Here is a 15,249-nt window from a genome sequence, read left to right as displayed (position 1 = left end):
GCAGATAAAATCTTTAAGAAAGCTAGGAAACTCTTAAGTTTCTAAATGGGAAGGTACTCAAATTTTCTTATGAACCAACAAAGGGGAAAATTTGAATGCTTGATAAAAAATGTCAGTTCTTTCCTGTTTGCCTGTCATCTGTTCCCCGCATCATCATGTATTTAGGGATTAGATTTTTTAACCTTATATATATATATCCATACATAGAAAGGAGAAAGCTATCCATTTTCTTAAATTGGGAAAAGGCAACATAGTTCTGGAACCACACGAAAGCCACAACCTCCTAAAGCCCATAGCGATTTGTTCTGTTTTGTTTTTTTCTGATCATCAATTCAAGTACTACTTTAAAGATTGCTTCCTGCTATCATTCACATTAATTGTGAGAGCACGATTTCCTCCTCTGAAATGAGAGTCTCTGATTCCCTTATAACCACATACACATATTGTACATTGCTGCTGAAGCACGCCTGGCAATTGAAATCTGGGAAATTACTGCAAAGGGAATTGCATAGAAAACAGGAAACTTGGTTCATACTAAAAAAAAAAAAAGAAGGAAAAAAAGTAGATGATAGATATAAAAACTTTAAAATAAATTTGCTACTGAGAAACAAGCTGTGGCTCTGCCAATTAGTGATCATGGGAAAACAAAAGAGAAAAAAGGAGGTGTCTCCACATGGTTTGGGGGTATCTAATACTATAGAGTGGGCCAGAAGGTTCATTAAAGAAAAGACACCAGGTCATGATGGGGATTGTCTTTCTCATACAACATTTCCTTCTGTTTCTGTAAAGGAGAAACTTCAAATCACACAACTTTATGCACACACACAGGCTTAAAGATACACACATACACCAAACAAGTTTTCTTTCCTTGTAGGTAAGTGTTGATGATACAACTGTCAGGCTCGATGTACATTTTCCTAGGCATTCATAAATTGCTGAGTATTCACTGAATGAAAAAAACCAACGAAGGAATGGAAAATTGCAGAAAATACGTTTCTCTCATGTGCAACTTTGACTTTGCTGCTTAGGGAATGGAGCTATGTCTGTGAGTGAGAGATGACACGGAATGATCATTTGAAGGAAGCTTCATGGAGATAAAATCTAAATACTCCACTGCTTCACAGAAGCCTTATCTGGAAAGTAGAAAAGAGACTATTTCTCAGTGGTTTATAACAGCAACATTATATTCTTTCTTCTTAGATCATTTACTAAAGTAAATGGGAAGTTTTCCTGTTAGCCTCGCTAAAATTCAGTGGTATCAACTTTTGCACTCTTTCATAAACACTCCGAAAATTTAGCACTGTGATTTCAAGGCTCAGAATGAAATACAAAGACATTAATGAGATTCACAGGAGGGCTGGAAAGTCATAGACGTTAGTATGTGTCGTTACAATCGTATTCAAAAGTGGTCATTTTTCTTGTGGAGAATGGCAATTCCAATATTACCGTAGTGATCATTCTCATTTTAGGGTTTTCTTTGATTCAAGTGTGCTTTCTGTCTTCCTTTCAGAGGTAAGCTTTCTGTGAATTTTCTTTTTCCCATCACAACACCAGACTAGTTACTACTTAATAAGAACCAAATGATGTTAAATCTCAGAACGACTCTCAGTCAAAAATTTCCTTAAACTGAAAGAACAAGATGGCCGCTGTAGTGACCTGATTGGTTGGTTATAGTCAGGAAGCTGTGTGAGGGGACATCCCAGGCCACAGGATCTGAACACAAACATGGCTTATGTGGAGTTTTAATTGTTGTCAAATTTAAGTGATACATGTGCTATAAATACCAGTTAGATAGATATTCATATCTTCGACTCCAGACATCTTCACTTTTTAATTTAGTACCCAAAGTTTATTTTAGAACATTTAAGCACTGCTAAAATAAAATGTACCCAACTGATTTTAAACAGCTTTGAGAACAGTTTAAGAAATCTGGAATTCATAGGGGTTTCTGCTATAGGTTTTCTTATGTTACATAAAATGGTCATTTCTCCCATTGCAGTAGAAGAAAAGAATGTTATTATTGTAGAAGTTGGAATTTGGGGTTTTAACCATGATCCAACACAAACGGCTGTGGTTTGGGGGAAGTTAACCTATTCTAAACTCGACATCCTGGACTGGAATTAATTGCTCATTAAAAGCAGAAAGAGTTCTTTTTTTCACTCTAATGGAAGTATAGCATAGGGTTTTTTGACATACTATGGAAAAATCATGTGTTCCTGAACTTCCTTTTTCTGCTCTTTGCTATTTAGGTTTGGGTTTGAGCCAGAGATGGGTAACTTATTTGATTACAGCATAAAAAGAATGATTTCATTTAGACTTTGAAAGAGGACTGATAAAACAACACCACACTTTGATTTTGGTTCAATATTATTGGGTTCAAAAACAAATTAAGAGGAGTGATAATTCAAGAGTAGTTCAACAAAGATAGAAGACAGTTTTCATAGTGCTTATAGATGAATATTCACACATTTTCTTTCTTTCAAACATCTTATATTAAGAAGTATCTCAACACCAGCCATAGGAGCTTTCCTTTCTCTTTTCACCGGGAGTCAGTAGAGATTTGGAAATCAGCTTTGCTAATGATTGTGTGGCCATGAGGCAAGGTCTTGGAACCTTTGTTTTCTCATCTATAAAACTGGATTAAAGATATCTACCTCACAGAGCTAGTATATGGAATAGCTTATATAAGGCAGAGTCAGCACTGAGTAAATGATGCCATTTTTATTAACGATCTGGTTGTAGTATAATTTATTGAGTAAATAATTTGTATATATTCTCTTTGTATCTCACCCTCCTATTTTAAGCGCTTAACTGGACCCTGGTATTTCTTTGCTTCAGGGTTTTTTGCAGAGCTGCAGGCAGAAGCTGCTAGAAGTCAACTTTCTTCTGGTCTTTGATTTTAGCATAAGCTCATTAAAGAGATTAGGTGTGCCCCCAGGGTCAGGGATGAAAGGAATGTACTTTTGAAGGAAAAGTATGTGTGTGGGAGAGAGGGAAATAGATATTGACCTTTGGACCAATGGAATTTGCTAAAAGTGCCTGATGACCAAGCTTGACAGTTACCACCTGAAGTGACCCTGGGCATCTCAGTGGTAACCAGAGGGAGCAGGATGTGAAGGCCACCCTCAAGGCTTTGTGTGCTATATAATGTCCAAGGGCTCTGGAATAACCGAAGAGGCTAAGGAGCTCCAATAATAACTAAGATAGAAGGGTTGTCTGGCCAATTGAATGTGTTATTTCAAAACTTGATATGTGTACCATTTAAAAATTCTTGTTTATTGACACTTCCTACATGTTTAGACACTATTCTAAGTACTTTACATGTAATCATGTGTGTGTCATAGTACTTCAAGGAGACAGTACTATTCTCTCACTTTTAAAGGAGACAGGTAAAATAAATTGCCCAAATTTACCTAGTGAGTAATGGGTACAGCCTGGATGTGAACTCAGGCAGCCTAGCTTCAGAGTCTCCTGTGCTAAAATGCTTCCCATATCTGCTAAATTACTAGTTCTAAAACTCTGGACATCTGTGTGTTTCAAAAGACAGGATGAGTGGACAGGAGTAGTTTAGAAGAGCTATCTTATCAGGGCAGATTTTTAAGCAGAGCTGAGGCATCCTGGCCCATGTTAGTTGTAGCGACTGGCCCTTGGGCCACAGAGGGCAGACCCAGAAACAAAAGGCTTCCTTTGGAGAAAGGGCCAGTTTGCTGGAGAAATCGGATCCACTCTTGGGATCAGGTCACTGCCCACAGGCAGTGTCAGACAGGGAGCTCTGTGTAAGCTTGGGCTCCATACGTGGAAACAGAAGCGCTGGAGAATCCAGAGGCTAGTGTAGTAGCAACAGAGCATCAGGAATAGCTCTAACACTACTGTTTGGGAGTACATTCCATTAGCCCCTCTCCTGTTCCCTCCTCCTTCACTATCCCTACAACCTTTATGGATCAGATTTGTCCCCCAGAGTATTGCTGAGACTATCTGTACTGAGAATGGTAACTCTGTTGAGGGACAGGGCAGAGAAGTAACTGAATGCCTGAATGCTTTAGGGGAGGAGTGGGCTTAAGTGGGGTGCCATGATGCGGAGGTAGGGGAATTAATGGTCAGGGAATCTGGAGCAACAGACTTAAAGACCGGTAGATGGGAAGGGCCCAGAGAGTATCCCAAAAAAATGTGTCCAGAAAAGAAGGGAGGGGGTTAGATAGCTCCCTGTTTCTGCTTCAAGGTTATTGTTCTGGGATTAGCACAAGGTTACTGGATTTTAGTGGGTTTTTGTAGGCTGGTTTGGGATCCTAACAAACAATATATATATATTTTTTCCCTATGGGAAAAATCAATTCCTAGTTCTAAATTGCCAGCTTCTAAATGGACTTCTGGAACAGTTTATTTCTATGTTGGGGACTGCCTGTAAACATGTTGCTTCCTTTCAAAAATGATTTATGCTATATTTAAAGGCTAGAAATTCACTCACATGTTGTATAGTCCAGATCTTCTCCCATATAGCTTATATGTCAACAAATTCCTGTGAAAGACACACTGAAATATAAAAGGGCCAAAGCCACTAACCAAAAAAAAAAAAAAATTCAGTTTATTTTGTCCTCTTCTTTTCTCAATTTTTTTTCTTTTTGTTTTACTACTTGCTGAAATCTAAGTGAGCAAAATCTCAACTCTTCCAGTGGCATTGATGTTTCACCAGTATCAAGTTCAATAAAACTTCAGGCCTTTCTAAAACCCACGCAATGTATAGACATGGTTTTTTCTCTCTTTTTTTCTCTGCCTTGGTATTGCTTCCAATCCTCAGTTCCACTGTTTTTGGAAATCAAAAGATGTGTTGATAAAGTCAGCCACTGGGAGGGAACCATTGGGATAGAGCTCAAGAAGGTTCATCAACTGAGAAGGGATTGCCCATCGTGTGGCAGCAGCCCAACTGCAGGAGTCTATGGACACATACTTTTTTTTTTTTTTTTTTCTTGGAGAAAGGGTCTTGCTCTGTTGCCCGAGCTGGAATGCAGTGGCATGATTATGGCTCTCTGCAGCCTTGACCTCCTGGACTCAAGCAGTCCTCCTGTCTCAGCCTCTCATGTAGCTGGGACCACAGATGCATGCCACCACACCCCCATAATTTTGGTATTTTTCATAGAGAAAGGTTTGACTATGTTGCCCAGGCTGGTCTCCAACTCTTGGGCTCAAGTGATCCTCTCATCTCGGCCTCCCAAAGTGCTGAAATTACAAGCATGGGCCACCCCTCCTGGCCTGGATACAAACATTTAATGGCTCTAATTCTTTACCCCATCTCACCTTCTAAAGGTTTTAAGAACAGACTATGTGCTTGTCACAAGACAATAATCCATGAAGATATAAACAGAGCAACTCTATGTAAAGAAAGAGAGCAACTTTAGTCCTTTCAAATAATTCTACTGCTTCTCCTGGGGTGAATTGTTCCCTCCTCTTTCACTATCCCTACAACCTTTATGGATCAGATTTGTCCCCAGAGTATTGCTGAGACAATCTGTACTCAGATCGTTCTGGGGTGAATTGCTAGGTCCGAGGTGAACTAAAATGTCATTTGCCTATATAAATAAATTCCAGAGGTCTGATAATTTCTCATGAATAATTCAGTGACATCATCTGGGTTCCTGGGATAGTTCAAAGATGCTGAACCAATAGACAAAGTGAATTTTCTTTCTCCTTTTACATAACAAATAATGGCAGCAAATTTAAGTTTGATAATAGATCTATTCTTTCTAACGATAAACAGGAGAATACACAAAGGGAAGGCTTTTCTTTCTCTTTCCCTGGAAATCTAAGAAGATGAAGAAAGTTTATATCATTATTAGAACTCGAAGTTGTCGTAGACAGTTTGTAATTGTGCCTACCATCTACATTCTCTTTCCCTGTTAACAGCACCTTGATTTTCCTTTGAGGACTCTCTCTTCACCTATCCTTATTTATGGAGTCTGGGTGGACTTGACTTCACTGTCTAGTTCCAGGGGTGGTCTTGTGGCCTAGTTTTAGTCTATAAGAATATTGTGGCCGGGTGCGGTGGCTCAAGCCTGTAATCCCAGCACTTTGGGAGGCCGAGGCAGGCAGATCACGAGGTCAGGAGATCGAGACCATTCTGGCTAACACGGTGAAACCCCGTCTCTACTAAAAATACAAAAAATTAGCCGGGCGTGGTGGTGGGTGCCTGTAGTCCCAGTTACTTGGGAGGCTGAGGCAGGAGAATGCCGTGAACCCCGGAGGTGGAGCTTGCAGTGAGCAGAGATCGTGCCACTGCACTCCAGCCTGCGTGACAGAGCAAGACTCTGTCTCAAAAAAAAAAAAAAAAAAAAAAAAAAAAAAAAAAAATACTGCACCTGTCTGGCCATGAAGGTTGGTTCAGAAGTGGACACGTGATCCAGGCTGAATCAATCAGCGCTACTGAGAATTGTGCTGAACATCCACTCCAGGATGTTTCCTGATCTACAGAGAGACTATCTCCTCCTTCAGAGTTGTTGTGTTAGAGCTGCAGATGGCTGTCTTTCTACCTCAGGTAGCCCCTTGAGAATGGTGCCTGCAGAGAGAATAGCAAAGCTGACAGATGAAAAAAGAGACTCCTAATGGCCTGTCTGGAGGAGTTGGATCCAGCTTTGCCTGAAGTCAAGATATGGTTATGGACTTCTTTTAAATAAGTCAACAAAATTTCCTTTATGAATCAGGTCAGTTTGATTTAGGTCTCTGTTCTTTGGAATATAAGAGCTATTGCCTAAACCAGAATTGTTCATCAATGTACTTAGTTTTTATCAGATGCTTTTAAGGAGGAGACAAGGAAAATACATAGAAATCTCCACTCTGGTATTGGACCATTGATGGCACTTGTCCTCTTTTCTCCTGGTGTTTATGAAAAACCTTCTGATGGCTTTTATACTTCTTTGGCTATTGCACATTCCATCTTAAATCCTTTCCTTAAGATGGTTAGCATGATCTCAGCATTGTGTTTTCTCTTTCCTCCAAGTGTGGAATTCACCAGATTTGTCTCTTGTCATCCAGATCAGCGGCCAAGTACGTTTCTTCAAGTTGGCTTCTAGACCATCTTCACAACAGAATGAACAAATCTTTCAGATGTTTACATTTATTCACCCAACCATCTCATTGTTCCAACTATGATCTACCTGAGCCAACCCCTGTGCCAGAGAGATATAGCACAATTTTTGTTTTTGTTTTTGTTTTTTTTGAGACAGAGTCTCACTCTGTCACCAGGCTAGAGGGCAGTGGTGCGATCTCAGCTCACTGCAACTTCCGCCTCCCGGGTTCAAGTGATTTTCCTGCCTCAGCCTCCCAAGTAGCTGGGACTACAGGTGTGCACCACCATGCCCAGCTAATTTTTGTATTTTTAGTAAAGACAGGGTTTCACCATGTTGGCCAGGTTAGTCTCAATCTCTTGACCTCATGATCCACCTTCCTCAGCCTCCCAAAGTGCTGGGGTTACAGGCGTGAGCCACTGTGCCCGGCCAGCACCATGTTTTTAATGACAGTGGTAACAGGTATATCATGCTAGTTTAAGATGTTTTAACTCCCACTTTTTTTTCCATATATAAACAAATGTACTCCCTTCCCAACCATGTGTCTACAAACCTCTTTTATAAATAAACTTTCTTCTAATTTAGCCAAAGAATTTTTTTTTAAAAAGGTTGGGCGGGGGGATAATGATACTGCTATTCAGCTCTTGAAAAAGACAATAATAAAGGCACTAATATTTTTAGAAAACTTCAGAGGCATCTCATTGCTAAAATTATTTACAGGATATTCATGCTGCTGTTAAATAAGCAGATCAGCTTTATCTGCTAAGAAAAAAGCAGCCCGTTGTCAGAGGACTATCTTAAGTTTTACAAAAAATAAAATACCAGCAGATAACAGGTATTATGTTTTCCTCTGGCAAATATTAACACTTCACAGCTAGTATATCTTGCTTACTTAATTGGGCCTATAAAAACTCACCAGACTGTTTTACTTGCAGCCACTGAAGTTCTTTCAACTTGTTCTTTACAGCTTTTCAGAGCTAAGACGGGAAAACAGTTACACAACAGAACAGCTGAAAAGATTTTAAGGTCTCAAGTCCATATTTACAAACCTTACAGTGTGTGTGTATTCATTTATTTTATTTTATTTTATTTTTTTATTATTTAAGTTTTAGGGTACACGTGCACAGCGTGCAGGTTTGTTACATATGTATACATGTGCCATGTTCGTGTGCTGCACCCAGCAACTCGTCATTTAACATTAGGTATATCTCCTAATGCTATCCCTCCCCACTCCCCCCACCCCACAACAGGCCCCAGTGTGTCATGTTCCCCTTCCTGTGTCCATGTGTTCTCATTGTTCAATTCCCACCTACGGGTGAGAACATGCGGTGTTTGGTTTTCTGTCCTTGCGATAGTTTGCTGAGAATGATGGTTTCCAGCTTCATCCATGTCCCTACAAACGACATGAACTCATCATTTTTTATGGCTGCATAGTTTTCCATGGTGTATATGTGCCACATTTTCTTAATCCAGTCTATCATTGTTGGACATTTGGCTTGGTTCCAAGTCTTTGCTATTGTGAATAGTGCCACAATAAACATACGCGTGCATGTGTCTTTATAGCAGCATGATTTATAATCCTTTGGGTATATACCCAGTAATGGGATGGCTGGGTCAAATGGTATTTCTAGTTCTAGATCCCTGAGGAATCGCCACACTGACTTCCACAATGCTTGAACTGGTTTACAGTCCCACCAACAGTGTAAAAGTGTTCCTATTTCTCCACATCCTTTCCAGCACCTGTTGTTTCCTGACTTTTTAATGATCGCCATTCTAACTGGTGTGAGATGGCATCTCATTGTGGTTTTGATTGGCATTTCTCTGATGGCAAGTGATGATGACCATTTTTTCATGTGTCTTTTGGCTGCATAAATGTCTTCTTTTGAGAAGTGTCTGTTCATATCCTTCACCCACTTTTTGATGGGGTTGTTTTTTTCTTGTAAATGTGTTGGAGTTCATTGTAGATTCTGGATATTAGCTCTTTGTCAGATGAGTAGATTGCAAAAATTTTCTCCCATTCTGTAGGTTGCCTGTTCACTCTGATGGTAGTTTCTTTTGCTGTGCAGAAGCTCTTTAGTTTAATTAGATCCCATTTGTCAATGTTGGCTTTTGTTGCCATTGCTTTTGGTGTTTTAGACATGAAGTCCTTGCCCCTGCCTATGTCCTGAATGGTATTGCCTAGGTTTTCTTCTAGGGTTTTTATGGTTTTAGGACTAACATTTAAGTCTTTAATCCATCTTGAATTAATTTTTGTATAAGGTGTAAGGAAGGGATCCATTTTCAGCCTTCTCCATATGGCTGGCCAGTTTTCCCAGCACCATTTATTAAATAGGGAATTATTTCCCCATTTCTTGTTTTTGTTAGGTTTGTGAAAGATCAGATGGTTGTAGATATGTGGCATCGTTTCAGCCCAAAATCTTCTTAAGCTGATAGGCAACTTCAGCAAAGTCTCAGGATATAAAATCAATGTGCAAAAATCACAAGCATTCTTATACACCAATAACAGACAAACAGAGAGCCAAATCATGAGTGAACTCCCATTCACAATTGCTTCAAAGAGAATAAAATACCTAGGAATCCAACTTACAAGAGATGTGAAGGACCTCTTCAAGGAGAACTACAAACCACTGCTCAATGAAATAAAAGAGGATACAAACAAATGGAAGAACATTCCATGCTCATGGGTAGGAAGAATCAATATCGTGAAAATGGCCATACTGCCCAAGGTAATTTATAGATTCAATGCCATCCCCATCAAGCTACCAATGACTTTCTTCACAGAATTGGAAAAAAACTACTTTAAAGTTCATATGGAACCAAAAAAGAGCCCGCATTGCCAAGTCAATCCTAAGACAAAAGAACAAAGCTGGAGGCATCATGCTACCTGACTTCAAACTATACTACAAGGCTACAGTAACCAAAACAGCATGGTACTGGTACCAAAACAGAGATATAGACCAATGGAACAGAACAGAGCCCTCAGAAGTATTCATTTATTTTAAAACAAAGCGAATAAATCAGGAGATCTTTTGCAAAAGGGGAAAAAAATCCAACAAATTTGAGAATAAAAGAACAAAGTATGAAAAAAAAAAAGAACAAAGTATGTCAGCTGAGGCAACTCCCAAAATGTCTCTATAGTTTTCCTAGCACTCTGTCTCCAACTATGCACCTCCAGCAGAATGAACTACTCTCTCTCAGTACATATAGAAGCTAATACCTCTCTATACTACAGCATTTATCACATATATTATTGTTCCATTTTGTTTGGGCTTAGATCTATTCCTGGCTGGATCCTGAGTTCCTCCAAGGTGGAAGTAATGTCATATTCTTGTTATCAGCACCTGGTCTACACTAAGATTTAGCAAATATTTGTTAAAATGTAATAGGAGTCAGGGGAGAGGAGAAGGGAGGAAAAAGGGGAGAGGGGAAGAGGGAAGAGGGAAGAGAGAAGAGAGAGGGGAGAGGGGAGAGGGGAGAGGGGAGGGGATAAGGGAGAGGGGAGAGAAGACAGGCATGAAACCAAGTGAGAACCCTAGGGAGGAGTAAGAGAAAGCTTAGACTTCAGGCCACTGGGCAGGTGCAATAGTGGTAGAGAACTACATACAAGTTGGTCTGAGAAGATCTAGAAAGTCCAGGGCCAGCCAAAGAAAAAGTATTAGTCATATATATTTATATATATATTTTAAAATATTCATAGACCCTAATAAACTTTCAAGTGATTATTCTCATTATTTTGGCTTTGAAGACTTCAGTGAGCATACTTTCATTCTTGCTAGCCTATTTTGAAATGGGTTTACGAGTAGTTGTTAGGTAACTTATCTTTGTAATTTCCTTCTCCATAGTTCAGAAGTTCCCCAGTATAGAATGACTCCAGAAAACACTCATCGGGCCTTTCAACCAGAGACTCTGGACTTGGGGGAGTTCTAAGTTCATAACAATATTTCTGATGATGCTGGTCCACAGTGGTTTTGCTAGAGAAGTTGGACCGCTTTCGTGTTTACTCAAGGGATTGAAGTCAATGTCCTATTTTCAGAATTGTGGATCAGAATCCTTGATGACCACGTGGCGCATCCCTTGAGGGTCTCTCCTGGGCCCATTCTTCCCCTTCACGCGACTGTGATCTGATTTTAGCTAGTGCCCTGGTGATGATGCTAAAGACCTGCCTTTCTAGGAACCACAGTCTCATAAAAGCTGCCTTGTTGGGTCTGGCCGCTTGACAGGAATGAAATGTTAACTTTCTTAACTTGCTTTCCTAGATCTCTCCAAAAGTGGCAAGACAACAGTGTAATTTCTCAGGCCTACGCTGAACAAAAGACACTCAGGAAAGGAAACCTGCCTTAATACAAAACACTAGTGTTTTTCCTTGGCGTGGGGAGAGGAGAGGAAAGGATGCTGAGATTCTAATCCCTGGCTTGGAGTATCTCAGGCAGTCACAAAGAACACTCGTGTTTTACGGCAGTGCATTTCCCAAGCATCCCTTTGGGAAGCCTCAGACCCCGATTGTCTGGGAAACATAAAATCAGTCACTTTTGGCAGAGCTCAACACACCGGAGCATGGGAAACACAAATTAAACTAGAGATACTTCTTTACTCACTAGATGGTCTGGTTACACGTTTACTTGGCATAAAAATAGAATCATTAAAAAAGGGAGCACCCAAGGGTATAGTTATCTAGCTCAGGTTTGGTGAGGGTCAGAGGAAACTTCAAGTCTCTTGAAAGTTAAGCACCTTCATCCTTTCAGCTTGATGTAAGGAAATCATATAAAATAAGGTCAAAACAACCAGGACTACTTTGTCTAAAATTATTTGTCTTATTTTGCTCATAGGAATTCATAGAGGTTTTGAGATAGAGCACTTTTCAATGCGCTGGACACGGTGTTCTGTTTTGGGTACAGTGGAAATGACTTTCCTTTATTTTATTGCTTGTTTGGCTTATCGAGGGAGCTGAGCCTTACCTAACAAGTAGCTCACATCTCTTGTCAGAGGCAGTAAATCGATCTCGATCAAGTTTGAAACTGAGTGAATTGTTATCTAATCTGTTATTCTGTGGAAATCTTTCTCTTCTGCTACAGAGAAGCTAAGAGACAAGTTTTCCCATCACTCTAGGTGTCATTCTGTTTAATCCTAACATCTATAATAAGACCAATAAATAGCTGTTTGTTCCGATCCATAGTCTCAGGCTGCCTCTCTCCAAAGAGGCTGAAGCCACTTGGCCTTGAGATCGCCCATCTGCACTGTGCACTTCTGATTAGTGTTTTGGAACTCCATTATACAGGTGCAATCTTCTGGGCTCAGCAGTTCCGGTTGCTCTGCCCAACAGTGGTGGATCCTGAAACTGATTTTCACACCCCAGTGTAGAGATGAACGCATGACAGGCCCCCCACACAGATGTAAGAACTAGAGGGAATCAGCTCAGTCGCCAGACTCTATTCTCCCCACTCTGACCTTATGAGCATAAACCTGAGTGTGAAACTCAGGAAAGGAAACCTGCCTTAACAGATCTGCCTTTCAAAGGAGCCGGTGTCTTTCATGGGCACCGGGGATAACAGAGTCCCCTACCTGGTTCTCAGAGCAGCTCTAAAAGGCGCAGTAGAAGGCAGAAATCATTAGAGGGTGAGTGAGAACTGAACCCCAGCAAGGACACTGCTATTACCATGTTCAGCTCTGCTCTGATAATAATGCCAGTAACAAGAACTAACAATTACTGAGCACCAGCTCTATGTCAGCCACTGTTCTATGTATCTGATGTGCATGCACATTTCATGCAATTCTAAGCATCCTCTTCCTGGGCATTTTTGTAGATGCTGAAGAGTTAAGTACATCTTGTAGGCACAGACTTGCTTCTTGAAAACAAGAGAGTGAATCGTGCCACTCTGAAAAAACCCAATGAGTTTTTCTTCAGTGGTCACTGTATTCTTTTCTGTTCCCTGAATGTCAAAGGATTGAGCAAAAAGAATCCTCTAATACAAAAACTGCCCTTATCTCAAAACAAATCCATCCTAGTATGCCGGTAAGATCAGCAGAATGTGAAGTGCTCAGATCCAATAAACAAACAACTGACATCTCTGACAATAACCCTTTTGAAATTTACTTCTAATCACCATTTTCCAAAGGAGAGATGGCTTGTGTTGCAAGAATCAAAGCTCAGTGGATGGTGACAAAGATCCCTTGCCCTCTTTAAAGTAGCTAACTTCTGCTTCCCCCAAACCAGTTGGCATATAACAGGAAGTATGAGAGCAATCAGAATGAACTACTGCACGTTCACGGCGTTTGATTTCCATAAACAGCTTCTGTGGGAGAATATGCCTGTGGTTTGGGTAATGTTCCTGTCTATGAAGCCCAAGAAACCTAAATAGAATCTGGTATGTACAGAACATTCTTGACCGTGTTCTTCTGCTCTAAACATTCTTAGAAAAGATGAATTCAACGATTGAAATCATGCATGCGCTTACCCAGAGTAGGTCATACTCAGATGGCCTTGCTCTTCCTTCGTCGTCTTCATATAAAGGGAAACCTTCCCTCCGAGCCTGATAATACTCTTTCCGCAACTTCTGGATACGGTCAGTGCTTCCACCCGTAGGACGGCCACTACAGGATATAGACAAATAATCAGATTCACACAGTGTACATCATCTTTGAAATCACTTTTGGATCTTCTTGTTAAAGGAGTTGACATCTAAATTTGGAAGATTCAATAATGTAATTCAAATATGCCAGGAAAATGGTGAAATCAGTCATAAATATGAACAAAAAGTGGTCTTTACGTGCCTACCTTTAGTTCCAAGGGTCAAATGTCTGACTTGGGATGAATAAATGCCTTTTGAATGAGAAGGTAAGATAGAGTCTTTACCTTTTAGAGCAATTAAAAGGCCCACCACTTTTTTCTTATAATCACACACACAGAGTTTTGTCACATTTTAATATGGATATCTCATTTTCTCAATAAGTATTGCTAATTTGGGACAAAGCTCCAGTTGTTTGACCTGAAGGCTGGATATGAGACAGGGCTGGAATATGTTAGCATTCATTTCCATGAGGCTCATGAACTTTGGGAGTGGGGGTTGGGGATGGGATACATGTCAATATATGGGTACAGTTAGGACACGTGTAAAAAAGGTGACAGTAAAAAAACAAAACAAAACAGTAAGAAAGTTTTTTTTTTTTTTTAAGGTGGGGGAAGCTGGTGTAGAGTAGAACGTGCTAATCCAAGTTCTTCTCTCTGTACTTTAGCCAGTATTTCCTCTTATGAATTATAGCTTTTCCAGTAACTCATCTGCCCAACCCCAAACTGCTCAGCTAGCACCTCCCTTGTAGCTTAGATTAGGTTATTGTAGTTATTTTAGTGGAACCAGTATCACATGATATTATACAGGGCTAGGGAGCAAAAGAATGACAGGCAGATCTGAACAGCCATTCTACTTATCTGGTTCATTTGAGGCATAACTGAGTGCCCCATTGCACCAGACGTTAAAATCTGGGAATGGAAAAAGGAACACTTCACAGTCCTTACCTGCAAAAACAAATAGTCTGGGAGGTAGGGGACAGAGAGGGATACAGAAGACTACAGTCCATTATGACTTGTGCTCTTACAGAGATTTGCATGGGGTCATGGGAACGCAGAGTGCTTAAACTTTGACAAGGTGAGAGCAGGGCCATTGAAGAAAATCACAGAAGGCTCCATGGAGGAGGTGACACTTCAGCTGAGCCCTGAAGGATACAAAGGTGCTCAACAGCTAGACAAGTGAGAGGAGGATATTCCAGGTAGAGGGAAGGGCAGTGAGTGCAAAGTAAAGCAATGAGAAAGCATCTTGCTTTAGAGACATGCAAGTCGATCACTTTGGTTAAGCACTGGTCCTCAACTTCTTTTGTCCTGCCTTACACACATACCAGGTGTATGGTGTATGTTCCCTTTCCACTCTCATTTACAAAGCAAATTCGAATAAAAGTGAGTTCTGGTGACTTTAAAGTTCTTTTTTTTTTTTGAGATGGAGTCTTGCTCTGTAGCCCAGGCTGGAGTGCTATGGCACTATCTTGGCTCACTGCACCCTCTGCCTCCTAGGTTCAAGCAATTCTCCTGTCTCAGCCTCTCCAGTAGCTAGGACTACAGGTGCATACCACCACACCTGGCTAATTTTTGTATTTTTAGTAGAGACAGGATTTCACCACATTGATCTGGCTGGTCTTGAACTCCTGA

General features: G+C 40.4%; 1 protein-coding gene across 16 annotated transcripts in view; it reads right to left on the bottom strand.

Annotated features, from left to right (window-relative positions):
- PARD3B (par-3 family cell polarity regulator beta) overlaps positions 1 to 15,249 on the bottom strand; it is a 1,074,688-nt gene that overhangs the window by 106,624 nt on the left and 952,815 nt on the right. For all 16 annotated transcript variants that reach the window (XM_047443208.1, NM_001302769.2, NM_205863.4 and 13 more), the window contains one exon: positions 13,508 to 13,643. In XM_047443208.1, the coding sequence (XP_047299164.1) occupies positions 13,508 to 13,643 (136 nt within the window). The remainder of the gene's footprint in view (positions 1 to 13,507; positions 13,644 to 15,249) is intronic.

Source organism: Homo sapiens, chromosome 2 (genome assembly GCF_000001405.40).
Source record: "Homo sapiens chromosome 2, GRCh38.p14 Primary Assembly".
Classification (NCBI taxonomy): domain Eukaryota; kingdom Metazoa; phylum Chordata; class Mammalia; order Primates; family Hominidae; genus Homo; species Homo sapiens.
Note: the sequence above shows the minus strand (reverse complement) of the source record. Positions and strands in the feature narration are given on the sequence as shown.